Below are 27,416 nucleotides of genomic sequence, written 5' to 3'. Positions count from 1 at the left end.
CAGTAATTTGCTTGTACAATAGCTTACTGAAGGCTCTGAGAAGTCCTGCAGTAGAAAACCAGAAACCAAAAAACTATTTACATTGGTTTAACTGGGCTTTTCCCATATTTGTTCGGCACAGAATCTTTTCTGTCCTAATGCCTCTTTTTTACCCTTCCCTTCCTGGGTACTCTTGCTCTCTGGGACACACTTTGATGTTCTGAGGCCATGCCTCAGCTGGGGCAGAGTGGCCACTATGGGTGGGGTAGCAAGGTTCCTCTGGGCCCTAGAGGCCATACCTACTGAATCCCATCACACTGGTCTGGTGTCCAGGCTTCAGCTCAACCCTCTACCTGCTCCGTTCTTTCATTTTACATGGACATTTTTCCTCAGGCACTCTGGGTCCATCTGTGCCCACACATGTTCTTACATATATCTATGCAGAGGTGTGTGTAGGCACACTAGTGACATGCCTACCAGTGTGGGCTAATCCAGAAAGCCCAAGAACATCAAGTGAGAGACAGAGACAGAGAGAGAGAGAGAGAGAGAGAGAGAGAGAGAGAGATTTTGATTTTCTTTCCTGGTCCACTTTCTTGGGTAACTAATTTCTTCCATCTAGGAAATATCCTAGAAGTCAGCTAATGATGAGGTCCACTCTGGTCACACCATTTGCCTGAGCTCATGGGCTAGTTCCTTTCAGGACTGTGGAGAAAGGTCTCCAAAGTGCAGAACTGTCAGGCCTGGCCTGTACCCACTGAGGAATGCATAGCAGAGAGGGACAGAGGCTGCATTCTGGGCCCAGCAGTGCCAGTTTAAACATTGTTCCACTTCTGTCTGCTTAGGAGGATTCTAGAAATGACAGGAAGGGCTTCACTATAGCATCAGTTCAAGATTAAAAGTCAGCTCCATGAGAGCAGGGACTGTGTCTGTCTTGTTATCCTAGTGCTCCTAGTGCCTGACACAAGGTCTGGAAGGCTGTGCATATGTGTTTGTTTGTGTGTGTGTGTGTGTGTGTGTGTGTGTGTGTGTGTGTGTGTGTATGTGTGTATGCATGCATGCAAGCAGGAACATACTTAACAAATGTTTATTGAGCACTTACTATGTGCCAGGCGTTGTCCTAAGAATTTTACATGGAATAACCCATCGAATCCTCACAACCATCCTCTGAGGTAAGTACTATTATTATACCCACTTTACAGATTCAGACACTGAGGCACAGTGGGTGAGTAGCTCGCTCCAGGTCACACAGCCAATAAAAAGTACAGCCAGAATTCAACACAGGCAGTCTGACTCCAGAGCTCTTTTGCTAAACCCACGATTCCATACTTGATGGTTCAATGAGTAGTTGTCGGATGAATGTAGAAATGAATGCATACATGCATGAAGGAAGGAAGGAAGGAAGGAAGGAAGGAAGGAAGGAAGGAAGGAAGGAAGGAAGGAAATACCAACCGATGGCAGCCCACAACCCTCTAGCAGCCTGCTGCTAGGCGTGCAGCATTCCCCAGGGCTTCCCTCCAGAAGCCCAGCAGCAGTGACATAATGAACACACCCTCCCAGCCACCCACACCAATACCACCTCTTCCCTCCCTCCCTCTGGGCCTTTGCCACATTTTGCTGTCACCCTCATCCTTCCACACTGCTCCTCCCAGCCACTCCCTAGCCCACCAGCTCCTTGACCTGCCTGCCTGCCAGCCAGTCTGTCTCCCCTTCCTTGCATGCTTGTGTGTGTGCCATGAAACCCACAGCCTCTAAAAACAAAGCAGGCAGCCATCTCACCCTCATGCTGCCACTTTGATGTCCCTTTCCTGGCAGCAGCAGGGTGCTGAGCCACCCTCCACAGGCTTAGGTCCCAGGGGACAGGTGCCAGCAGAGAAGCTCCACACATGAAGGCCAAGGCCAAGAGGAACATGGGTTGTTGGAAGCCAGGGAAACAAGAGGCCTGGTAGGGACCACCCAGACCTGCAGGGCTGGGGGACCTTTCATTCTACAGTCTCGTGCCCACCGTGTCTCCAGGGACTAGCTGATAATATGATTTTTATTTTAATTAATTAATTAATTTTTTCACTGAGACGGAGTCTCACTCTGTTGCCCAGGCTGGAGTGCAGTGGAGTGATCTTGACTAACTGCAACCTCCACCTCCTGGGTTCAAGTGATCCTCTCACCTCAGTTTCCCAAGTAGCTGGAACTACAGGCACCCGCCACCATGCCGGGCTAATTTTTTTCTTGTTTGTATTTTTAGTAGAGTCTGGGTTTCACCATGCTGCCCAGGCTGCTCTCAGACTCCTGACCTCAAGTGATCTACCAGCCTTGACCTCCCAAAGGGCTGGGATTACAGGCGTGAACCACTGCACCTGGCCGATATGATTTTTAAATAACACAACCCTCCCCTCACATGAGTTTAGCAGCCTACAGTTGACAAAGCACTTTTGCATCCATTTGCTTAAAAAATCCTCATTATGGCATAATTGGTAAAAGCTTTAGAGTCATGATGCCTGGGTTTGAATCCTGCTTCTGTGGCTTCTTAGCTATGCAACATAGGGAAAGTCACTTACACCCTCAGAACCTCAGTGTCCCCGTCCTTAAAATGAGCATTATAGCAATTCCTAGTCCACAGCATTGCTGTGAGGAGTAAAGGAGTCAATTCATGAAAAGTGCTCGGAGGAGTGGAGTGTGTAGACATACACCATTTAGTATGTACTCCCCAGACACCAGGCTTAGTCCTTTTGTTGTTGTTGTTTGTTCTTTTTTTGAGATGGAATCTCATTCTGTCACCAGGCTGGAGTGCAGTAGTGCGATCTCAGCTCACTGCAATCTCCGCCTCCCGGGTTCAAGCAATCCTCCTGCCTCAGCCTCCTGAGTAGCTGGGACTACAGGCACGTGCCACCACGCCCAGGTAATTTTTCTGTATTTTTAGTAAAGACGGGGTTTCACCGTGTTGGCCAGGATGGTCTTGATCTCTTGACGTTGTGATCCACCTCCCTCGGCCTCCCAAAGTGCTGGGATTACAGGCATGAGCCACTGTGCCAGGCCAGTCCTTTTAATCACAGGTTCTCTTCAGCAATCCCATGAAGTAGAAGAGGAAACTGAGGCTTATGAAGGAGAAATGACCTGCCCAGAGTCATCGAGGAAGTAGGTCTGTCTGTCCCCAAAGCCCAAGCTCTTTGGGGAAACTGAAACTCAAAAGATGGCACCAGTCTGGGTATGGGATGAGACTGGCTTAATCTAGTGCTCTTTTCACTGTCCTTCAAATGTCACTTTTCTCTCTTGAATGAGATAGATCCAGGTGTCTCCTACTCCCTCATTCTCCCCAAGCAGGAGCCTTCCTGTCTTTTGCGGCCCCACCTACATGGCACGGCGGGGAGGGTGTTCACCAAAGACAATGAGGGAAAGTTTGAAGCTTGCCTCTGAGCAGAGGGACTGTGTTCCACATGTCTCTGGAATACTGGTGTCCCAGCCAGCAGGTGCCAGGTGTACCCGCCTGTCTTCAGACACTGGTTATGCCTGGTCCATGCTGCCACTGGCCAGCTTAGCTTGTGCCACAGGTACTTTTCCCATGACATTTGTTGGCACCTGTCCCCCAGGAGGTGGGCCCCTCTTCACTATTCCTGGCTTGAGTTCCAGGTGCTTTTTTTTTTTTTTTTTTTGAGACGGCATCCCGCTCCGTCACCCAGGCTGGAGTGCAGTGGCTCGCTGCAACTCTGCCTCCCTGGTTCAAGCGATTCTCTTGCCTCAGCCACCCCAGTAGCTGGGACTACAGGTGCACACCACCACACACGGCTAATTTTTGTATTTTTAGTAGAGACGGGGTTTCACCATCTTGGCCAGGTTGGTCTCAAACTCCTGGCCTCAAGTGATCCACCCGCCTTGGCCTCCCAAACTGCTAGGATTACAGGCATGGGCTACCATGCCCAGCCCGAGTTCCAGGTGCTCTTGACTGGCATCATGAAGGCTAGAGGAGATGCTCTTGCAAGGGAAGGCTGTGGAGACCAGAGGAAGAGGAAGAAGCAAAAGGGGCTTCTTGACCTCTTCCCCACAGCCTTAACCCCTGGCTCCCACAGCCCTGATTCCTCCTCCTTCTCCCCCATCTTCTGGCACATGCCAGCAGATAGCCCCACCCAAAGCCAGTATCACCTCCGAGCTCCATTGTCCCTGCCAAAAAGGCTAAGAGCAGAAGCCCCAGTGCTGCTGCCCGCTGAGATCCTATCACAAGGGAGGGCTGGGAAAGACAGGCTGGGCCACAATTTTCTGACCTCTGGAAGGAGACCTCCTCGAAGGAGAAAAACAAAACACCAGGTGAGTCCCTACTATGCACTGGGGGCTGGACATGTGGGCTTTAATTTTACTGACTGAATCCTCCCAGCCATGCAAAGCAGGTATTCTTGCCAACATTTTACAGAGGAAATAGCTGAGGTAACGTGACTTGTCAAGAGTCCCATGGACAGCAAGCGGTGGAGCTGGGGCTGAACTCAGGACTGGCTCCAAAGCAGGCAGGCATGCCTCTCTGTGCACTGGCTCTTGGAATGGGTCACCCAGCTGACTTCAGCTCTGTAGGGTGGGGAGGGTTTGAGGAATGAGGCACTCTGGACTTTAGAATTTGCCTGAAAGCTGAGATTTTATTCCAGTGAGTGCCCACCTCAAAAAACCCTCCCCCCGAAAAAAATCACTCTTTTTTCTTCTTTGAGACGGAGTTTCGCTCTTGTTGCCTAGGCTGGAGTTCAATGGTGCAATCTCAGCTCAACGCAACCTCTGCCTCCCGGGTTCAAGTGATTCTTCTGCCTCAGCCTCCTGAGTAGCTGGGATTACAGGCATGTGCCACCTTGCCTGGAAAATTCTGGATCTTTAGTAGAGATGGGGTTTCTCCATGTTGGTCAGGCTGGTCTTGAACTCCCAACCTCAGGCGATCTGCCTGCCTCGGTCTCCCAAAGTTCTGGGATTACAGGCATGAGCCACCACACCCGGCCCAAGATCACTCATTTTTGACATACGTGTTTAGGAAATATCTTCCTCATCTTCCTGGACTCTTCTTTCTAAAGATTTGGGGTCCTCCTCATTAATAGCCCACCATTATCAGCACTGTGCTGTGGCGCTCTCCCCCAGGGTGTCCCCGCTAGGCTAAATGGCCCCAGCTTGTTTGTCTTCTTTGAGCTCTTGTACCTGGTTGGGGTTGTTTTGTGTTTTACTAGTTTGCTGCCTACTCCCCTGCTGTCAGGCCATCAGCTCTCACTTCTTGACACTTTTAGTGTGCCTGCTTCCAGCAGCCCCTCTGCCCTCCTTCTGATTTACTGCTTCTAATTTGCTGTAGACTTGGGAACCAGATAACCAGGCCTTGTTCGAGTAAACAGGAGGGAAAAACACTAAGGAGGGTCCTCCTACAGGTAACCTGCCTGTGCTTTAGTGTAGGCACTTGGCGGCAGCGGCAGCCGATAACCTGAGGAGCCAGCAGCTCACAGCGCTCAGACCTAAAGCCCGTGGCCCCCACATTTATACTGCCAGGTGCCTCCTTATTCTGACTTGCACCAGGGGTGATCTCAAGGCCAGAGCAAGTGTGAATCCAGCCCTTAGCCCTAAACTGACTGGCCAAACAGTTGAGGAGTAGCACACCCAAGATAAGAGAATTGCCACATTTGCTGAGCAAACAAGAGCGATTGAACAGAGGGTTGCCCCTGCCTCAAGGCATAATAATGGGCAGGGGGGGCATCTGAAGACCTCCAGTATCCCTCCCTTTCCCACCCTGCCTCCCAGAGGCTCTGCAGAGATTCTGGGCTGAGGAAGCTCCCTCTCTCAGCCTTGGCCCTCGCCCTGCCAGGAGAGCAGGGATGGAAGGGGGACTCATTCCAGTGTCCCTCACAGCATGGGGGCTCATTCAAGGCCCCAGAGCTTGGGTAGGCTGGGCCCATCTCTGCCTATGTCCAGGCCAAGTCCCTCACACTCCCACAGCTGCCCCCACCTCCACCCAACTGTGGCAGGAAATGGTCCAAGCTGAGCTGGGCCTGGCTCGCCACCTCAGCAGTCCAAGGGCCTGCCTCTCCCCCAGCCTGGGGGAGGGAGGCGCCACTGAGGGGGAAGCACTGAGGCAGATTTAGGACTTGGGTGGAGTTTGAAGCCCCCAAAAGCCATTTTTCAACCTGAAAACTGAACCAAGCTGGTCTGGAATTGTGACTGGAGGATAAATGTGGACCCCATGGTGTCATTTTATGGTCAATTTTCAGAGTGTAACTGCACTTTAAGCACTAACGCTGAGTAGCAGGAAAAAACTTCTTAACCGTAAGATCTATTAAGAGTGCAGAGCTGGCTCCCAGGGGCGAGGTGGGAATGCATAGACGTGAATCATTGGAAACAGGTCTAGCCCAGGCGCTAGGGAATAGCCCAGCCCAAGCTGGGCTGCAGGGAGGGAGGGGGCAGTGCTGGAAGGATGAGAGAGCTCCTCCACCTCCTCAGCCCTGCTGGTGGTGGCCCATGGTCACCTTCTCCGTAGGCCTGGAGTCCTGCCTGAGTCTCTGGACACTACCCTCTCCTGGGCAGGGCAGTTGGGCTTGTTACGCTTGGCCGCTCCAAGCAGAAACTGAGAAAAGGCAAAACCTGGCATAGCGGCCAGCCTGGTGGGGTGGTGGCAAGGCAGGAGGGCCAGCTGGCTGCTGAGCTGAATAGGACTGATGACTCTGTTTCCCTGGTTGTCCTGTTTGATGTTAATCACCAGGCTGAGCAAGCTCTTCAACCAGACACAGCTGGCCCCCAGGGAAATACGACAAGAGGCCAGGGAGGGTCTAGGTTATTTGGAGTTAAAGACCTGCAGGACGGGGCAGAGTCAGGGGCAGGGAGTTTGAAGGAGGGGGTCAGAGGGTACAGAGATGGAAAAAGATGGTGATGGAGGTCTCTAGTGATGGCAGATGGCAGATGAAAGGGGAAGCTTGGGGACCAGCTGACCTCCAAGGTTCCTTTCAGCTGGAAAAACTGGTTCCAAGGGACACAGGAGTGAAGAGATGAACTAACTGCCAGACAGGACCTTCAACAAACCGAAAGAGAGCCTCCCAGTCTCAGAGCTGTGGTCCAGCCACTGGGACACTTGCTGAGATCCCATCTAAGATTTAGGGTCAGAGCTGGCAAGCAGAGATACCAAAGGACACCAGTCTAGGGAAGGACAAACAGTGAGGTTCAGGCCTGGCAGTGAAGAAACCTCAACTGAGCCACAATTTGCTGTGTGATCTTAGGTAAGTCTTTTTCAGTCTGTGAGCTTAGATTGACCTATTTGTATTCATAATGGGTAGCAGGGAGCTGAGGAGTGAAATTTGAACCTGATCAATTCTTTCTTTTCTTTTCTTTCTCTCTCTCTTTCTTTCTTTTCTTTTCTTTTTTTCTTTCTTTTTTTTTTTTTTTGAGACAGAGTCTGCTCTGTTGCCCAGGCTAGAGTGCAGTGGCGCTATCTCGGCTCACTGCAAGCTCCGCCTCCCGGGTTCATGCCATTCTCCTGACTCAGCCTCCCGAGTAGCTGGGACCACAGGTGCCCGCCACCATGCCCGGCTAATTTTTTCTATTTTTAGTAGAAACGGGGTTTCACCATGTTAGCCAGGATGGTCTTGATTTCCTGACCTTGTGATCCGCCCGCCTCGGCCTCCCAAAGTGCTGGGATTACAGGCATGAGCCACCACGCTCAGCTGTTCTTTCTTTCTTTTCTTTCTCTCTTTTTTTTTTTTTTTTTTGACAGGGTCTCACTCCTGTCCCAGACGGGAGTGCAGTGGGTGATCACAGCTCACTGCAGCCTCCACCTCCTGGGCCCAGGTGATCCTCCCACCTCAGCCTCCTGAGCAGCTGGGACCACAGGCATGCACCACCACACTCGGCTAATTTTTTTGTATTTTTTGTAGAGATAGGGTTTCACCATGTTGCCCAGGCTGGTCTCCAACTCTGGCCCCAAGCAATCCAACTGCCTCGGCCTCCCAAAGTGCTGGCATTACAGGCGTGAGCCACCGTGCCCGGCCCTGATCAATTCTTTTAAGTCTTTAAGTATAAGGGTCTTAGAGCATTCCAGGATTCCTCAGACTGTATGCTCTGGGACGGGATTTCCTGGGGGTTAAAAATAGAAATAAAACAAAATTACGGACTAGGTACCAGGGAATGTTCTAAGTGCTTTTTACAAATGTTAACTCATGTAATCCTCACAACAGCTCAGTGATGTGAATACTATTACCCCCATTTTGCAGATGAGGAAATTGAGGCAGAGAAAAAATAACTGACAGACTCAAGCACCTAACTGACTCAAACCAAAGACACTCTTTGCCTTCTTTCTGGTTCATTTCCCTAGCTGGGTGACCCTGCCTCCTCCACCCCACACCTTTCAGGGCTTCGTTCTCCTTCATGGCTTTCTCAGCACTGGGCAAGGTATCTCCTGCCTGAGACAGGCTGCCTCCTTGAGGTGCCCTTCACCTCCCTGTGCTTCCTCCCCTCCCTCCCCTCCTCTCTGGGGGAGCTGAGCCAGGCTCAGGTTTCTCCATTTCCAGGCTGAGTCTCCTGCCTTGAGCTGGGCTCACTGAAGAGAAGAGATCTTGCTGACCTTGCACTTTCCATCCACTCTGGGGCTCTGGGCTTTGAATGGACACATAAGGAGTTCTGCACCCCCTGTCATGGTGAGGGACTGAGGAGGGCGGCTGGCCTCTTGCCCTGGACCTCTGGCGTGGAAGAAGTTACCCCAGTCCCACTGAGCGGGCCTGAGTTTGAAACCCACAGGCGTCTCTGTGCAGATCTGGGGCAGAAGTATTGCTGAGGGCACTGGAGGAGGAGTTGGGGCCAAGGGCTGGGTGGGATGTCCACCTGATTATAGTTGCAAACCCCTTCTCCACACGACAATGGAGTACTTACTAATTCTCCCTTGCGTTGGACTAGTTTCTTCCTCAAGCTCTCTCTTTTGGAATGATAGAGTTAGAGTGTTAGAGATAGAGATAGAGTGTAGAGGGCTGGATAGACCCTTAGAAATCATTGAGGCCAAGTCTTTTGCTTCCAGATGGGGAGCCTGAGGCCCAGAGAGGGCAAAGACATGCTCAAAGTTGCACAGCAAGACAGCCATGGAAGCAAGTTGGAACCCAGGGTTCTTGACTCTTCCCGGTAAGTGTCTTATCCAGCTCAGTTCCACCCCTCACTGTGGACAAGAACCTCTACACTCCGCCGCACACACACACGCACACACAAACACAGGCTGTGCGCTATGGCCTAGGGAAGCAGGCCCTTGGGAGTGAAGTGGGAGGCACCCAGAGGCTGATGAGAGGCAGAGGCCAGGATAAGGACGGAAACTGTGCCGCTGGGGTGAGCGTGGCATTCGGAGGCGTGGATGTGCGCTGGTTTTTTTGTGCCTTAGAGCCTCCAGCCCATGCCTTGTGAGCCACCCTTGCAAGGGTGGGAGAGGCCAACGAGAAACGCCCAGGCTCACTATTGAGGTCTTTACTGATGCTTGAAGGGTTTGGAGGCCTCCAGCAAAGTCACTGACCCACCCCCTGGATTTTCGTCGCACTCGTACCCTTCAGGTGTCCAAAGGTCCACCCCGTGCACCCTTTCCCCCAGTTTTCTAGACCGCCGCTGCGGCCGGGTGAGCCAAGGGCCATGGCCACAAGGGGGCACTGGCGCTCCATGGCTCCAATGGGCGTGGAGGCGCGCACTTTCTGCCGGCGTTGGCGGGGGGGGTGCGGGGGCAGCAGGAGTTTGCATTCGGCTCCCCCACTCCTGGCACCCTCCCCATTTCCTCTTGGAAGCCTCCCTAATCCTCTTATGCCGAGGGTCACATCCCTGGGCCCGGGGACGAGGTGTTTCATTTTCAATTCGCCCCCACTGCCCCTGGGGGAGGTCCGTGAAACGTGGGGAGGGGAGTCCCCTGGGCTGAAGCCCTCTTCCCTGCCCCTCTGCCCACCCCTTTCCCTTGCTCTTGTCTTCAGCTTGTCCCTTTTTTGGGTGTATCTCTCCTACCTGCCCTCCCTCCACTCCCCGCCTGGTCAGCCTTCTCCCTTCTCAGAGCCCACGTTCCATCTCCTCTCCTCGGACCTTTCCCCTCCTTTCTTCCTTATCAGCTTTCAGCTTTCACTCCCCGCTTCTCTCTCCCCCCTCCTGCTCCTCTCCCCTTGTCCTCCTCTCTTCTCCCTTCTCTTCTCTCCCCTCCTCCTTCCCCCTTCTCCATTCTCTTCTGCTTTCCCTCTCCTTTCCCTCTGCCCTGGCTCGGGCGGCCTCTCCCTGGAGGAGTCGGGATGTTAGGGTGGAGTGGGCCTTGGCCCTGCCTCTTCCCAGGGCTGTGGGCTCGCTCCCAGGTTTTGCGGGTTGAGACAGGGAGTGAGGGAGGGAACATCCAGCGCTGCTGGAATCTGGGAGTGGAGGCAGCTGTGGGTCAGAAACCCTCCAGTCCTCTTAGCAAGTGCAGCCTTTTCTGGAGGGGAGGGAGATTGAGAATCCAGAGACCTGGGGCCTGATCCCAGCTCCGGCTCTGACCTCTGGCCCTGGCCGTGTGACCTTTCCCATCCTCTCCCTGGGCTTCAGTTTGCCCCTGAAGACAATGGAGAGGTAGATATCTGAGGACTCTCCCAGTCCGTCCTCTATTTTTTTCATTTTTCAGTGGTGACTGTCAATCCCAGGAGGCCTGAGCATGGCTTCTCCCAGATTCACCCTCTGTCCCCATGGCCCCCTTTAAAATGCTAGGGGCCACTGGTGTGACAGAGAGGAGTCTGTCTGTGTCTGTGAGTTGCACTGGAAGAGGGACTGGGGTTGGGTGTGGGCCCTGATGTCAGCATGTTGGGGAATCTGTCTGGCATAGTTGCTCCCTGACTCTGAGGATCTGGGCAGCTCTTGGTGCCTGGAATTGTAGAATGTCAGTGCTGGAAGAGGTCTGGGGCAGAGATAAGTCAAACACCAATATATGGGACCACTGTGGTCCTCACTCCACCCTCCAGCTCTACCCCAGGGTACACACCCAAGGGCCATTGCCTGCCTTTCACCTCTTAGCTTCCAAAAGAACTTAGCCCCTTGTGGGATGAATCAGGAAACTGCGGTCCAGAGAGGGGCAAAGACTTGCCCAGGTACATGCAGCAAGGTGGTGGCGAGCTGAGACCAGGCCCCGAGGCTCGCGCCTCCCAGCTGTGAGCATGCTGGGGATATAAGAACGCAGGTGAGGTGGTGTTGCCACCTGGCACGTGCTTTGGGGGATTGGTGATGTGAAGGAAGTTGTATGTGTGCATGACAGAACTGGGGGCAGGATGGGAGGTGGGAGTCGTTAGGGATGATTGCCTGTTCCCCAGCTCTTGTTCTGGGCACACACCCATCCTCGGAGGAGGCAGCTCTGGAGCTGCCAGTGGTCCTTGTTGCAGCTGGAGGGTAGCACCCCCACCTGACAGTGTGATTTATCACATTCTCCCTTTCTCCCCTCAGCCCCCAACCTTCCTGTAGACCCCAGAGAGGGCCCAGCCTGACTTAGAGGCAATTCACCTGTTTTTGATTTGAGACTCAGGTGGACTTTTCTTTCTTCTCATCAAAGAAGTGGTGAGGGGAAGTCAGAGCCCCATCCATCACCTCAGCCTCTCAGCAGCCTTGGGGAGGGGGAGCAGATGGGCAGGGGAAAGACCCAGGGATCTTGCAGCCTCCTTAATTCCCAAAGGGAGCCTCCCAGACAGCCAGGCAGGGCATTACTGGCCCAGATATTTAGGTCTTGGCTACAAATGCTCAGGAGAAACTGCCTAAGAGGTCCTTCATTGGTGCTCTGGATCTCTGGAGGTCCTAGGGCCAATTTTTGTTTTCTAATCCCTGATACCTAGGCAGGTGAGGGTGGGGCCTGGGAGGGGCTTGGGCCCCAAACAAAAATAGAACAAATATTTAGTGCCTGGAGAAAGAGGGAAGGGGATGCAGGAGGGAATTCATTTTGTTTTCATCACCTGTTCTGGGCCAGACTCTGTTCAACACGTTGTCTATCTGATTTAACTCTCCGAACACTGCCCCATTCTCCAGATGAGGAAACTGAGGCTCAGAGAGGTAAAGTGATTGGTTCAAGGTCAAATCACAAGGGAGCAAGTAATGGGACAGATTCAGGGTTACAGCTGTTTGGCTCCAGGATGTTGGCCTGGCCAGGAAAGATGACCTGTGGCATTTGGTCCCTGCCCCATCCCCAATACATGCTCCTGTGTGCTTCATCTCAAGGCCACTCCTAACATACATGGAACCTGTGCAATTAGAAAAAGCCATCTTTTCCTCTGGGCAAGGTACATGGGTTGGTGCAAGGAGCTGGGGTTGAATTTTAGCTCCCACTGGTCACCTGCAGCCGGCACTCTTGAGCAGGGCTCAGCCTACGCAGCCATCCGCGTGGCCCTACTTGGGCTGTCCTTTCTTTAGAGTGGGTCGAGCAAATCCTGGTCTAGGAGGGGAAGAGAGGAACCTGCTAAGCCATGATGCCAAATCCTCATTCTCCTTATCCCCCTCCCGTGAACGTTATCATCATCACCATCATCGCCACCAACATTTCAGGCATCCTTATGATACTACAACTACTAATAACAGGGGCTCCATTGTAGCTCAATCTGTTTGGAATTCTTCCCCGAAGCAACCCATTTTCTCCCTGCTGGACTCTTTCCTCCTCATTACACCCCTCTCAGTTTCCAGCTAGCAGAAGCCAATCCCATGGGGAAATAGATTCATGGCCGGGCCAGCTGGACTATGATCCCTGGGTGGCCTGGGGAGACCTGAGAGAGATGAGGAGAGGAGGGGCACTGTGCAGGCTCAGGTATACTGGCTTAGTTGCTATATGGCCTTGGGCAAACTACTAATCTTTCTGGGCCCAGCTCCTCATCTTCAATCTGAAAGGGTGGGATGGATGATATCTATGATCATTTCCAGCTTGGCCTCTTGGGGTGCTGAAACCTCTGTGTTCAGAAGTCCTGCTCCCTTCTGTGCACTAAAGGATGAGAATAAAGCACCCTTTGGATTTCTTCCTGTGGCTTCCAGCCGGACAGGACACCAGAGGCAAGCTGGCCTGGCTGCTTCCTAGCTGTGTGACCCGGGACAAGCTACTTTACATCTCTGAGCCTCAGTTTCTTCATCTGAACAATGGAGATGATTGCACCTACCCTGCAAGGAAAGGCTGCTGTGAGGAGTCTATAAAAATATATATAACTGTGCCATGTACAGCCATTCACATGGTAAACATTCATTCATTTATTCATTCAACAAATATTCCTCGAGTATCTACGAAGAGAGATAGGATAGTGTAGTAACAGTGCAGGCTCTGAAGCCAGACTGCCTGAGTTCAAAATCCAGTTCTGCCTTTTCTTATCTGTGTGACCCTGGTTGAATGACTTAACCTCTCTGTGCTCCAGTGACCCCCATCTCTACAATAAGGCACCTACCTCATAGGGCTGTTATAAGGGTTAAGTAAGTTAATCCACGTAAAGTATTTACTGCTTGGCACAGAGTGGAGCTCATTAAATGTCATGACACCATTCTAAATGCTGGGGTTGCAACAGGAACAAGACAGACAAGATCCCTGCCTGCAAGGAGCATTCCATAAATGTTGGTCCCATTCTCTCTTCCTTTTGTTCTCCCTGTGAGGGGGATAAAGTGTCTCAGATAGCTCAAGCTAAAAGCCATCCTTTGCTCCTTCCCCTCTTCCAACCAATCCATAAATATTAAACAAATATGCACATGCACAACAAATATTCTTTGAGTACCTTGTCTAGTTCTGTGCTAGATGCTGAGGCCATGGAGATGAATATGACTCAGGCTTCATTCACTAAGAATGCTTAATCAAAGAGAAAGACAGAGAGAGAGACAGAGTGAGATTCTCTTAGGGCCATGAGGGAATACTTCTCAGAGGAGGTAGCCATGTGTTCTGAGTCTTAAGAAAAGATGCTGAGAACTTTCCCGGGGCTCAGGGAATATTTCAGACAGAAGGAAGAGCACAGGCAAGGGCATGGAAGTTCTGACAAGTGATCAGCACTCCAGCAGGACCGGGGCATTGGTGGGTTGGAGGGCATGCTTCCTATCTTCTTTCTAAAGGGTGAGGAGGCAAGAGGGGAGCACTTTTTACAGGGCACCTAGCATAACTGTGCTTGGTGCTCGCCAACTTATCTCACCATGGGGCTGGGCATTCTTACCTGCATTTCACAGATGAGGAAACAGACTCAGAGTTGGGGACGGACATAGTCACGGCCACCCATCTGGCAAATGGCAGAATTGAGGCAGGCCCCTAAGTCTGTAGGCCTCCAGTGCCTGCATGTGCTCCCCGAGGCTTCTCTGCTGTCTCTATGGTTAGCCTGTATGGAGATTTGTGCTGGCTAGCTGTGTGTGTGCATGTGTGACTGTGTGTGTGGTGGGAAGGTGAAAGGGTTGAGGGAGGCCAAGGAAGGGGATGCCTGAGGATCTGTACACACTGCACCATACCCATTCCCCTCTGCCCCCAGTAGGGGAGATCAGGGTGAAGGAAGTATAAAGGACTATGTTACCCTGTGTCTCTCCCCATCCAGGAACTCACCATGAGAAAGACAGCCTCTCTCCCACCCCTTACACACACATGCAGGCATGCATGTGTGCACACACACACAGAGACACACACACATGCACACACACACGTCCCTCCATCCTCCCCCGCTCCTAAAAATATCAAACCAGTGGAGCTACAAGGGAAATGAATGTTTGGCAGCAGAGCAAGTGGCCTAGGAGTGGTGTCAGGCTCTGTAAATATTTACCCGCTGGATTAGAGCAGAAGTTGGAAACATTAGGCAGCTGAAAATTACTGTTTTAATAGCATGGCTGATAAATCCAAACTTGGGGGGTTTGTTTGGAAGTCTTGGCTTCTGGGAATTTCAGCATGTAAACTGTGGGCCCGGGGTGGCTGGGAACAGAATGGAGGGGTGTGGGCTGGTGGGTGGGTCTGCCTGGAGGAGAGGACAGCCAGACCAGAAGTGGCCCAGCACCTCAGGCTACAGCCGGCTGGATGGCACAACATTAATTCATCTCCTCATTCATTCATTCATTTATTCATTCATTTCTCAGACCCTGTTAAAGGGAGAAGTAATGAGCAAATAATCTATTGAACACAAAAATGTGCCACATATTTTAGGAGGTGCTTTATTTTTTAGTTCCACATTTAATATTGACCATAACCCTGGGTAGTAGCAATTTTTTTTGAGATGGAGCCTTACTCTGTCACCAGGCTGGAGTGCTGTGGCGTGATCTCAGCTCACTGCAACCTCCGCCTCCCGGGTTCAAGTGATTCTCCTGCCTCAGCCTTCTGAGTAGCTGGGACTACAGGCGCGCGCCACCACGACCAGCTAATTTTTGTATTTTTAGTAGAGATGGGGTTTCACTATGCTGGCCAGGATGGTCTTGATCTCTTGACTTTGTGATCTGCCTGCCTCAGCCTCCCAAAGTGCTTGGATTACAGGCGTGAGCCACCGCGCCCAGCCAGCAATTATTATTTTTATCTTACAAGAGCTGAGGAAAATCAAGCCTCAGTGGGAAGGTAACTGGTTCAAGGGCACCAGCTGGAAAGAAGCAGGGCAGGGATTTAACCCTAGGTGCCTCTGACTCCAAAGCCTTGTTTTTCCCACTACACTATGCCACCCTCCCGTGTGAGGTATGCGGTAGACAATACATTTCAGAGAAATCTCAAGCAAGGTGCTAGAAAATACAGAGATGAATCTGACCAAGCTCCTCCCTCGGAGAACTCCTGGTCTAGAAGGAGTCTAAGAGGCAGATCCAGATGATTCAAATTCCAGGGAGAAAGTAGCTAATGCCTTAAGAGAGGAAGTGCCGAGGAGGGAAGAATTTCTTTCAGGTTGGGGCAGAGAAGAGGGAGGTATCGAGGTGAGGAGGACCAAGAAGGCTTCCTGCGGGAAGTGGCTGTTGACCTGGGCCCTAGCTGATGGATAGAATTTGCATACGGGGAAGTGAGGAGGGCAGGTATCCAGGCAGCAGGAACAGCATGAGGGAAGGCACAGAGGAGGAATGTTGAGTTTGGTTGAACCAGAGAGTATAAAGAGAAGGGGCAGGAAATAAGTTCCAAAAGGTAGATGGGTGCCAGATTTTGAGGGACTTCATAGCCCTCTGATGTTGAGAGAGCCAAGCGCCCCAGGGCTTGAGCTACACAAGGGTTCAGGCCACAGCCTGACTCCTTTTTTTCCTTCTGCTCTCTGGAAAGGCAAAGGGAATGGTTTCCCTGAGCACCCACCCAACCCCAGTGTGTGTGTGTCTGTGTGTGTGTGTCTCTGTGTATCTCTGTGTGTGTGTGTGTGCCATTGCACTTCCTTCTACAAGGCCTGCCTTCCAGCTGCTTCCAGCTGTGGCCACCCCCCCCCAGTCCATTGTGAGGCCAAGATCCTGGCTCCCCACTGCTAGAGCTGAGGCCCCAGCTGGTGACAGGACAGTGCAGCTGGTTCAAGCCTCTGTGGGCAGTCCTGAGTCAGAAGAGACAGAGGGAACAGGGGAAGGTCGCCATGGGCAGCTGGGCCCACTGAACAGAGGAGCGGGAAGGGTGACGGGACAGTGGCAGGAGAAGAGAGCACTGCTCTGACACCCAATAGACCTGGACAGCAGTCCTGCCTCTGACGTGGGACCTTGGGAAAGTCATTTCACTTCTCTGAGCCTCAGTGTCTGCCTCTGTTTCCCTTCCCTGGAAGTATTCTCTGAGGTTTCAATGACATGATGCCTGGAAAGCACCCAACGTGCTACTTGACACATACTAAGCACACAGCAAAGGGCAACCGCCTTGCTCAGAATAAACGAACACTTCTGTATCTCAACAAGGAGATACAAAAGCAGAGATACCCACAGCAGACTTTATTCCCGGAATGTCTTCCCTTGAAGGCTTGGAATAGGGGAGCTCCCACCCTGCAGAGACAGGAAGATGATCCAGAGAGCCTGGGGGCTTCCTTGTCCTATCTAAACTGTATGCTTCACAACTCAGTGGAAATAAATCAAGTTCAGGTTTGGGAAACCAGGGGTATCAGGACTTCTAACTTGTGCCTCAGGGGCCCAACGTCAGGACCCCTCCCTGCACTCTCACTGGACCCTTTCTCCCCCACTCTTTCCCAGGTCCTCCGGCTCGCCTCTGCCAAGTGGGAATAAACACGCCTGCACTACATTCTATGGGGTGGGAGAGGTGGAGAAGGGAATGTCAGCAAAGAGGAGGTGACAGGCAGGGCTGTGTGCAGGGAACGGGGGAGGGGCCCTCAGCCAGTCCCAGGAAAGGTGTGAGTGAAATGGAAGAAGCTGTTCCTTTGGGGCTCTGTCCTCCCCAGTCCCCAGCAAGAATGGGGGGAGGGGAAGCAGGCCCAAAGGGGCTTGAGGCCATCCCTAAATTTGGTATTTAGGCCTCTCAGTGTGGTTTTCCTGCTCCAGAAAATGTTAATTTACTGCAGTTTGAAAAATGATCAAGCCGGGGCTGGGACTCAGCAGCTGGTGCAAGGGAGAGAGAAATCTCTTTTTGTTCTGTGGGGAATTGGGCTGCAGCCCCCACCCCCACCCTGCTCCCATGTGGGGCCATCCTTCTCCCAGTGTCGAATGTCGACAGGCTCCTCCCAGGAGCGGCCTGCCTTCTTCGGGCGCTGAACCGCGCCAACATTTATCAAAAGCCTCGAAGCTTCTGAGCGAAAGAGGTGTGTGGGGAGGTATGAAAGCCAGCCCCGGTTGGGGGCGGGGTCCCAGGCTGAGCCTATCCCAGGCCTGATGATTCTCAGCAGCCTTTGGGGGTCCGCGGCAGAGGGCCCGAGCTAGGAAGGGAGGCCTGCAGTGGGGCAGCTGGCTAGAAGCAGTGTGGGAGCCTCCCCTCCTCTTCCTGGGTCTTGTCAAGCTATGTCCCACCTGCCTGGCTGCCCCCTCACCTCTATTGTTCAGCCAGACAAAAGATGATTATGGAAAAACAGCCTGCCTCCAGCAGGCAGGCTCTACAAATCAACAAATCCCCAAAGTTGCTGCTGCTGCTGCCTGGCTGGGGCCCACTGAGCCCAGCTGGACTAGACAGGCCAGTCTCTAGAGCCCCCCGTGCTCATTCCACAGCCACCACTGGCAGGGAGCACCATTGTTGTACCTCACCGGGACAGTTCTCTCTCTGAGCTCCAGGGGCATGGACATCATTCTGTGGAGCCTCTGCTCCCGCAAGGGAGTGTTCCAACGTGGCCGCTTCTTCCAGGTCATCATGGCTGGCCAGCCTTGCCATCTCTCCTGCCCCATGCCATTTCACACTCCATTCGTCAGCAAGCACTTGTTGATATTGACGATGTGCAGTGCACCAGGCTAGGTGCTAGGACACAAAGGTGAGCAAGGCACAGGCCCTGCCCCAGAGGAGGTTCTAGAAGGCGAAACAGACACATACAGAGATAAGAGGGAAAGTGTCTTCAGAGGGGTATGGACAACTCAGTTCACTACCTTCGTCACCCTCACTCACCACTTACATCTTCATCAACCTCACATCCATCTACCTCCCTCACCTTCATTTCCACCTCCCCACCACCACCACCACTTCCCTCTCCTCTTCTCCTTACACTGTGGCCACCAACATCAACCCTAACACTATAATTGTCATCACCGTTTTCTCTGTCATTGTGAGTTTTAATTCCTCATCCCTGCAAATCCATTCCCTGCTCTCTAGGAATTCAGAGCCTGAAACTGACGTGCCAACAGGGCACAACTATTAAGACAATCTTTTTAAAACCTTTGCATGAATGTATAGGAAAGTATTTACATGGTAGTCTCCAGTTCAAGCAACCTCTTGGGGGCTTATGGAATCTCTCAGGTCTGGTTGGAGGTTTTCAGTGAGATTCAGATTGGCTCCTGGCCTACAAAAAGTTCTTCATTCTGTCTCTCTGTTCCAGTGGGTCAGCATTAACCCTTCTGGAGGCTGAGGGCCAAGGAGCCAAAGAAATCTAACCTAGGGACTAAGGGTGGTGCCTGTCTGCATTTTAGCTGGAACCTGCCAGCAGCTTGCTAGTTTGGAATTCTCAGCATTCCTGCCAAGCCCGGGCTTGGCTCAGGTGCCACCCATCCTGGCCTGGCTGACAATAGATGAAAAGGGTCATAAACTCAAGAACTCCAGACGAAGCACCACTTTGCTAAGTCACAGTGCCTCCACACTGTCACACCTGCTATGAGGAGACCCAGTCCCCAGCTAATGCTCTAATCCAGTGGTTTTCCAAGTAGGTCTACACATGAGCAGCATCACTCCCTCCCCAACCTCCCCTGCTGTGCACCTTATTGGAAATGCAAGCTCTTGGCTCCTCCATGGCAGATCCACTGAATCAGAAACTCTGGGGTAGGACCTAGCAATCTGTGCTTTAATGAGCCTTCTTGATGATTCTGATGCATCTAGAGTTTGAGAACCAGTGGTAGAAAGAGGGCAATGGACTCAGGCCAACCAGGATTTAAATTCCAGCTCTGCCATTACTAGCTGTGTAACCTAGGACAGGCTGGTAAACCTCCATAAGCCTCGGTTTCCTCATCTGCAAAATGGAGATCATAGCACCTGGCTACCTGAAAATTGCATTACTTTTGATTTGATGTAAGGAAAAAACAAACAGGTCATGAACAATTACAACTGAAGCTGCTGGTCCCCAGAGTTATTAAAGAAGAGTCCAGGGGACCACACTGTGGAGTGAGTGAGTGCACGGTGTATGAGCCAGGAGTCCTGTTTGGCTGGGACACAAGGTGTCTACTGTATGTCTGACTTCTTGGTTACCCCTGCCAAATCTATCATGTGTCACACATTTCAAACCTCCATCCGTGCCTTGAACTGGCTGTTTCCTCTGTCCGGAATTACTTATTCCTAGAGCCCATGCAAATTATTTCTTTCCTGTGGAGTTTTCTGAATCACTTAGGAATTGCACTCAGTGCAAGAAACTGAACCCAAAAAAGTCTAGCTTAGACACACAAGGGTTTATAGTCTCAGATACCAGACGCCTGGAGATAGGCAGTTCAGAGATGGCACAGTGGCACTGTGGAGTCATCAAGATCTCACCTCCTCCATCTCTCTGCTCTAACATCCTAGTACCAGCTTCATTTTCGAGGTCTTGTCAGGGTTCAAGATGGCTGCTGGAGCTCCAGTCATCACATCACCATTTTGGCAACAGAAAAGGGAAAGGGCACATATCCTAGCTATCAATAATTTCCTTTTAGGCAGCAGCTCCAGAAGTCCCATGTGACATTTGCTTTTACATTTTATTGCTCAGAATGTAGTCACATGGTCACATCTAGTTGTAAGAGAGGCTAGGAAATATAATCTTTCAGCTAGGCATTGCCATGGTAGGTAAAATTTGAGCTTTGTTACTCAGAGAGAAGGGAAGAGTAGGTATTGAATGATAACTGTCAGAGCAGTCTCTGTGACAGCTCCCCTTCTCCTCCCAGAAGTGCCGATCATCAGCTGGGCTCCTATAGCGCTGTGCTGTCTCCTCCATTACAACATTTAGTGCTCTGCTCTGCAATCTAGCACCTAGCTTCATTAAGTCCACTGAGCAGGAGGGAGCGCCGCAAGTACTGCTCTGTTCAGCCTAGCTCAAAAGAAAGGCTTGAGTGGCAGTGCTGGTGAGCAGTTGGCAAGCTAGAGGGTACAGAACATTGCAAAGAGCGTTGGCTTTAGAGCCATCCTCAAGTTCAAATTGTAGCCCTGCTATACAGCGACTCCATAACCTCAGCCACTAGTAGCAATGACCTTTGAGCACTTGCTATACACCAGCCAAGTTGTTTCTACATATTATCTCATTTAACCTATTTAATCGGTATGATTATCATCTCCAATTCAGAGCTGAGAAAACTGGGAGTTAAGTGACTTGTTCAAGATCCCCTATCTACAAAGATGTAGAGCCACGCTTCAAATCTGGTGGTCTGAGCCAGAGCCCAAGCTCTTAGCCACTGCACAGCAGAGCATCTCTGTAAACCTTGCCACCCCCTCAAGTTCCTTATTGGTGAGGTGGGTATGATCGTCCCTGCTTCACAGGCTTGTGTTAGGGATTTAATGTCATCATCTATGTGAAAGTGCCTCCCATTTTGCCTGGTGCAATAAACGTTCTTCTTCTCTTCTTCCACTTCTGACAAGGGCCCTGTGCTGGCTCCCCGTGGCAGGCTCTTTGGAAGCCAGGGTTGCTTGCCTTCCCACTCCTTTCTTCCTGTCAGTGTCATGGTTCTCTGAGCAAGAGGATCTGCTCACCTCTGCGTCAAGACAGAGTTATTGTCACAGGCACCCTCCACCCAGGGAACAACCTTACACTGTGGTGGTTCCTGCCTCTAAGAGGAGCTGCCCCTGGTGGAGGGATGTGGGGACCTCCCGTTCTGAGAAGAGGTAAACCTCATGTTTCATTTTAGGACAGATGGAGGCCAGAGAGGGGCTGTGACCTGTGCCAGGTCACGTAGTGGGTCAGTGGCAGGGTGGGGTTTCAAACTAGAAATGAACAGTGCTCTCAACACATCTCTTCCCCTCTCAGCGCCACCCATTTCCTGAGAACCTCAAACTGCTTGGTCTTGAATGAACCCTCAGCTGGGATTTGCTGACATTTCCCATCCTATTGGTGTTTGATTTAGGCTCATGGTCACCTCCTCCAGGAAGCCAACATCTCCCTTTCCTCTATGGTGCCACTCACATGGCTAGTCTGCCTTCTGCTTTCATGCTGACCACATTGTATGTAACAGGATCATTTTCCTACCAACTGGGAGCTCTGGGAGGGCAGGGACTATGTTTCATGGAGCACTGCTTCCATGGGATTCAGCCTTGAGCCCATCCCAAAGTCGGTGCTTGACAAATGCTCAATGAGAGAAGAACTAAATGAGTGAAGAACAAGTAAGTGACTGACTATGTGCACTCCTTCTCTACGCCAGGGCCCTAGGGGGCTGTGTGGGTAGTAACAGCCCGAGGCTGGCAGACCAGAAAAGTGCTTTTCCCTGGAGTCACAAGAACAGGGGAACAGGGAAGAGACAAAGCGACATCACAGGAAAGCTAATTCCCCATGGCATTAATAGCCCACGTTTTGCTGCAGGAGAGAGGCGAGTGGCAAAACAGGTGTGTGAGCAGATAATACAATCTTCCTCCCTAACACCCATGTTGCTGAGCCAGAGAGCAGGCAGCCAGGAGATTAAAGCCCTGGCGTTTCCTAACAGTGCCAATCAATATTTATTATAACAGGAGGCAGAGATTGCTATCAGCAAGCATACAAGAGAGAATAGATATATAGATGTGTGTGTGTGTGTGTGTGTGTGTGTGTGTGTAAAAGCAAGGCATAACTTATTGTTCCTACTTAGATGCAAGGGAAGCAAATAACAACAACAATAATAATGACAATAATAATATAAGACAGCCTTGGAAAAGGATCTTTGTTAATTTCTTGTGCTGAGAAGATAGCTCCTTTGGTAAGACGCTCACTTAGTCTCCATGTGTCCACCCCGCTGAGGTTTTGATGTTCCACTTTCATCAAGAATATTGAGCATGAAATCCCGACATTATGTGGGCTGTCTGGTGACAGCTGATGAAGAGATGGAGTCTGGAGCGGAAGAGTGCCAGGGATGCCTGCCTCCACTGCCGAGGGACAAAGCGCTGGCTTAATTGGGCCCCTGGGAACAGTGACAGCCCAAGGGAGCAAAGCAGGGGACATCTGGGCCCTCTGCCACCCATCACCATTTGAGGCCCAACTTAGCGGCGAGGTTGGGGGTTTGAAGGAGGCTGAGGGCGCATCACTCTTGAGGGCAGTGGAGAGTTGGGGATTCCAGTGCTGTTGACCTTGGCAGGAAGGGCAGACCAACACATGCCCAGGCTCTTGAGCTTAGTGAATGAGGATGCTGGGAGCTGTGAGATTTGCCTTGTAGCTGCAAATTCTGAGCTCCAAAAACTGGCTCACAGAGCTTCCTGCACTGGCCATGGGAACTCTCTTACTCAGCCAGTACTGCTGCCTCAGGACCAAACCTGAGGCTTTTCTAGAGGAGCCGGGCCTGGGCTCTCCATACCACTAAGGTTTGCAGTGTCCTTGAAGGGCATCAAGTCCATGTTTGAGCTTTCAGGCCCTACTCCGTCTGTCCAGTCCTAGACTTAAGAGGGCTCAAGTCATCCTTGGCTTAAAGATGTCTCAGGGTGCTGTCCACGGCTGGCAACATGGACATTTCCTGGTGGCTTGATAGGAATGCAGAAGCTCAGGCCCATAACTACTGAATCGAAATCCTCATTCAAACAAAATCCCCAGGTGATTTCTCTTTACATTAAAGTTGGAGAAGCCCTGCTCTAGATGACTAGATTTTAGCCTCAGCTGCACATTATAATCCCTTGGGGATCCATTTGAAAATGCTGATACCTGGGCCATATCCCTGCCTGAAAAAATGCAAGTCTCTGGGAATGGGGCCTGAGTACAGGTACTTTGAAACAGCTCCCCTCTGATTCTAATGTGCAGCTGAGCTTGAACACCCCAGGGCCAGAGAGCATTCTATGGGCACTCATCAGATGCATCCCAGGCTTCGGAGTCAGGCAGTCCTTCCAGGTGTCTAACCCACAGACCTCCTTTTGTGATTCTAACCCATAGGCTCTTCCTCAGTCAGGAGAGAGAGGGAATTGAAATACATCCTCTCTCTAAGAACCATTCTGAGGCCTACAGGGCATTCACATGCATGATCACCATTCCTCCTGTGGACTCATTTCTGTAACAAGCCCTGGTGGATTTAGCAGAGAATCAAAAGAACAGGGAAGCCTTGCACCCCCAGAGCTTACCTTGCTCTCATGTTCAAAGAGTACTGACCTCCCAGCCAGGGGCTGCCCACACCCTTGGGTGCTCTCCCACCTGGGAGCACGGCAAGCCAAGTGTGCTCATTTGTCATGCCCTTCCTCTGCCTCCTTATTGGAGACCCTGATTCCTTGGGCTAATAGGACTAAAGGTGGACAGATCAACTCCATCATTTTCCCACCTACAGAAAAGCTGTTCTGCTGGCCTACCTGAGAGTCTTGAGAGGAGAAGGTGCCAACTTAATTCTAAGTGTTCCTCAAGAAAATAACTAGGGCCAAAGGGTGACTATTATAAGGAGGGAAACTCACATAATTTTCTTAAAGAGCTTTCCTAAAAGTTACATGTGTCACAGGTGTCTCACAATGGAATGGTCTGCCATGTGAGGCAATGAGCTCTCACACTAGAGGGGAGCAATGACCTGGGAGGAAAACCAGAGCCCATTGCATCCAATGAGAGTTGTGATGGGGGCTGAAGCTCCTTGATGATCTACAGCTCTGAGCACTTAAAAGATCACTTGTCAAAAAGGGGTCACATGGCTGGGCACGGTGGCTCACACCTGTAATCCCAGCACTTTGGGAGGCCGAGGTGGGTGCATCACGAGGTCAGGAGTTCAAGACCAGCCTGGCCACGATGGTGAAACCCCGTCTCTACTAAAAATACAAAAATTAGTCAGGTGTGGTGGCAGGCGCCTGTAATCCCAGCTACTCGGGAGGCTGAGGCAGGGAATTGCTTGAACCCGGGAGGTGGAGGTTGCAGTGAGCCAAGATTGCACACCACTGCACTCCAGCCTGGGTGACAGAGCGAGACTCTGTCTCAAAAAAAAAAAAAAAGTGACACAATTTGCCATTGCAAAAATATGGAACCAACCCAAATGCCTATCAAGCAAGCGACGCGTGGAATGGGATTGGAGACTATTATCCTAAGTGAAGTAACTCAGGAATGGAAAACCAAACATCGTATGTTCTCACTCGTAAGTGAGAGCTAAGTTATGAGGATGCAAAGGCGTAAGAATGACAACAATGAAATTTGGGGACTCGGGGGAAAGGGTGGGGAGGAGGTGAGGGATGAAAGACTACAAATTGGGTGTAGTGGATACTGCTCAGGAGACAGATGCACCAAAATCTCACAAATCACCACTAAAGAATTTACTCATGTAACCAAACACCACCTGTTCCCCAAAAACCTATGGAAATAATAAAAAAAAATTTAAAAGCGGTGACGGGAGTGATCTAGACCAAGGGCTTATTCTAGAGAAACTTGGAGGGTCCTAATATCTGGAGGAAAAGGAAAGGCGGTCTAGGTTCTACTCTTCAACACTGCCACTGACTGGCTGGACTGTGTGGCCTTGGGCAAGTGTATTCCAATCTTGAGCATCAATCTAGGGGACTAAACTCTATGGGCTCGAGAGGCCCTCCCAGCCAGAGCTACCATTTTGAACACTCTAGTGGGTGCCACTTACACAGACCACAGTCTGGCCTGTGACTACCTATCTACTACATACTTTGCAGGGCCCAGTGCAAAATAAAAATGCAAGGCCTCTTGATAAAAAAAAAAAAAAAAAAAAAAAATTAGAGTTGGGCGCAGTGGCTCACACCTGTAATCCCAGCACTTTGGGAGGCTGAGGCGGGTGGATCACAAGGTCAGGAAATCGAGACCATCCTGGCTAACACAGTGAAACCCCGTCTCTACTAAAAATACAAAAAATTAGCAGGGCGTGGTGGCGCACCTGTAGTCCCAGCTACTCAGGAGGCTGAGGCAGGAGAATCGCTTGAACCCGGGAGGCAGAGGTTGCAGTGAGCCGAGATCATGCCACTGCACACCAGCCTGGGCGACAGAGCCAGACTCCGTCAAAAAAAAAAAAATTACTAAGAATTTCAGCCAGGTGCAGTGGCTCACGCCTGTAATCCCAGCACTTTGGGAGCTGAGGCAGGCGGATTGCTTGAGCCCAGGAATTTGAGACCAGCCTGAGCAACATAGCAAAACTCCATCTCTACAAAAAGTATAAAAGTTACCTGGGCGTGGTGTCACATGCCTGTAGTCCTGGCTACTCAGGTAGCTGAGGTGTGAGGATCAACAGAGCCCGGGAGATCAAGGCTGCAGTGAGCCGAAATCATGCTGCTCCAGCTTGGGCGACAGAATGAGACCCTGTCTTAAAAAAAAAAAAAATGGAATTTCAAAGTGAGAACAGCAGAGCATTAAAGCAAGTGTGGGACCCCGTGGATTGCACTGGTGGCATATCTGTGAGGCTGGCCCTGACTATACAAGTGCAAGCTGAAGGGGCAGTAAGACAGACATGGGGGCTTATACCTTAGCATTTTCCCTCCTCCCACCCTGCTCCCCTTGGGCTTGGCAGCCCTCAGATGAAGCCCTTGACTATTTAGTTAGAGGATGGGTGGAAAGCCCAGAGAAGCCAGGGGCCTGTTGACCCTGGAGAACTGAATTAGGAGGAAATGATTTGAGAGGTAATCAATATGCTCAACTGCAGTTCATTACCATCTAATGAGTCCTCTAACAGTTTAGCCTCCACTGGGGCCCAGCCAGCACTGCCACCTCTCCATGCCCCTGCTCCCCCGTGTCATTTGTTCTCCTAGGGGGCTGATCCCAGATGTGAGGCAGTGAGGGATGGGGGGCAGCGAGGAAGGGCAAGGGAGCACCAGACAACTACTGACAGCAGGCCGTAGCTGAAAGGGCCCTTGGGGACCTTCCAGTCCAACCTCTTCATGGTACAGGTAAGGAAACAGAGGCCCGGAGAGGGAAAAGAATGTATTTGAAATCATAGAGCGAGTCCAGCTGCAAAAACCAGAATTGGAATTGGGTTCCAGTAACCTTTCACTCAGGGCTATCTTCCCACTTGCTTTGACAGCAGAAGCCCCGAGCTTGCACCCCAGCCTTGCCATATGCTAGCTGTGCCCCCTGACTTTTCAAAACCTTAGCTTCCCCATCTATAAAATGAAGGCAATATTACCCATTCTACAAGTCTAGAGTGTGGTTTAAGTGAGATAACAGAAGTGAAAAGCGCTTTGTAAAGTGCAAGAAGTTCTTCAAACATAAGACATCCATGCATTCACCATTTCCCAAGGTCCTGCTTTTGTGCAGGCACTGTGCTGTAATGCTGGGAGCCAAGCAAGAGCTCTGACAGAGTCCCTGACCTCCCTCAGGGAGACTTCTATGTAGAGGAAGGTAAGCTACAGTACAGCACAGCCTCTTGGGAGTTGAGGGAAGGACAGGCAGGGAAGACTTCATGGAGGAGGTTAGCTTGGGAGGAAGAGGAAGTAGCATGGGGTTTTAAGTGAGGAATGACATAATCGTACCTTTGACAACATTTGCATAGCACTTACTATATGTTAGACCCTGTTCTTAGCACCTTCCAAATATTAACTCATTCAATCTAAACAACAAGCCTATGAAGTTTTCTAGGGAAACTGAAGTCCAAAGGTAAAATGACTCATTCAGTTCACAAAGCTAGTAAGTGGCAGAACTAAGATTCAAATTCAAAAAAGCCCATACTCTTAATCATTTCCTGAGTTGAGGAAGAGGTGATAGACTGGTAGTTTGGATGCAGGAGAATGGACTTCATGATATTTTAACTTCATTTTTGGATGGGATGACCTTCTTTCTCTGTGGACACACACCAGTGAAGTTGCATTGGTCAAAGTCCACATTTAGAGTTAACCTTCACTCTAATTTTTAAGAGTCCAGAGAATCTGTGATAATGATTGTCTTGATCCTTTTGGGATTCATTTT

General features: G+C 51.0%; 5 annotated features.

Moving 5' to 3' along the window:
* Positions 1,281 to 1,781: an enhancer, noted in NCBI's record as "H3K4me1 hESC enhancer chrX:68513811-68514311 (GRCh37/hg19 assembly coordinates)". NCBI's record gives its function as "activates a minimal SCP1, AML or CMV promoter by ChIP-STARR-seq in primed H9 embryonic stem cells {active_cell/tissue: H9 hESC(primed)}" and the evidence as "EXISTENCE:reporter gene assay evidence [ECO:0000049][PMID:30033119]".
* Positions 1,782 to 2,282: an enhancer, noted in NCBI's record as "H3K4me1 hESC enhancer chrX:68513310-68513810 (GRCh37/hg19 assembly coordinates)". NCBI's record gives its function as "activates a minimal SCP1, AML or CMV promoter by ChIP-STARR-seq in primed H9 embryonic stem cells {active_cell/tissue: H9 hESC(primed)}" and the evidence as "EXISTENCE:reporter gene assay evidence [ECO:0000049][PMID:30033119]".
* Positions 4,891 to 5,782: an enhancer, noted in NCBI's record as "NANOG-H3K4me1 hESC enhancer chrX:68509810-68510701 (GRCh37/hg19 assembly coordinates)". NCBI's record gives its function as "activates a minimal SCP1, AML or CMV promoter by ChIP-STARR-seq in naive H9 embryonic stem cells {active_cell/tissue: H9 hESC(naive)}" and the evidence as "EXISTENCE:reporter gene assay evidence [ECO:0000049][PMID:30033119]".
* Positions 8,770 to 9,751: an enhancer, noted in NCBI's record as "H3K4me1 hESC enhancer chrX:68505841-68506822 (GRCh37/hg19 assembly coordinates)". NCBI's record gives its function as "activates a minimal SCP1, AML or CMV promoter by ChIP-STARR-seq in naive H9 embryonic stem cells {active_cell/tissue: H9 hESC(naive)}" and the evidence as "EXISTENCE:reporter gene assay evidence [ECO:0000049][PMID:30033119]".
* Positions 15,059 to 15,241: a silencer, noted in NCBI's record as "fragment chrX:68500351-68500533 (GRCh37/hg19 assembly coordinates)". NCBI's record gives its function as "represses an EF-1alpha promoter that drives an FKBP-Casp9 reporter gene in an ReSE screen in phorbol 12-myristate 13-acetate-treated (for megakaryocytic differentiation) K562 erythroleukemia cells {active_cell/tissue: K562(+PMA)}" and the evidence as "EXISTENCE:reporter gene assay evidence [ECO:0000049][PMID:32094911]".

The sequence above is a fragment of the Homo sapiens genome, chromosome X (genome assembly GCF_000001405.40).
Source record: "Homo sapiens chromosome X, GRCh38.p14 Primary Assembly".
Lineage (NCBI taxonomy): Eukaryota > Metazoa > Chordata > Mammalia > Primates > Hominidae > Homo > Homo sapiens.
Note: the sequence above shows the minus strand (reverse complement) of the source record. Positions and strands in the feature narration are given on the sequence as shown.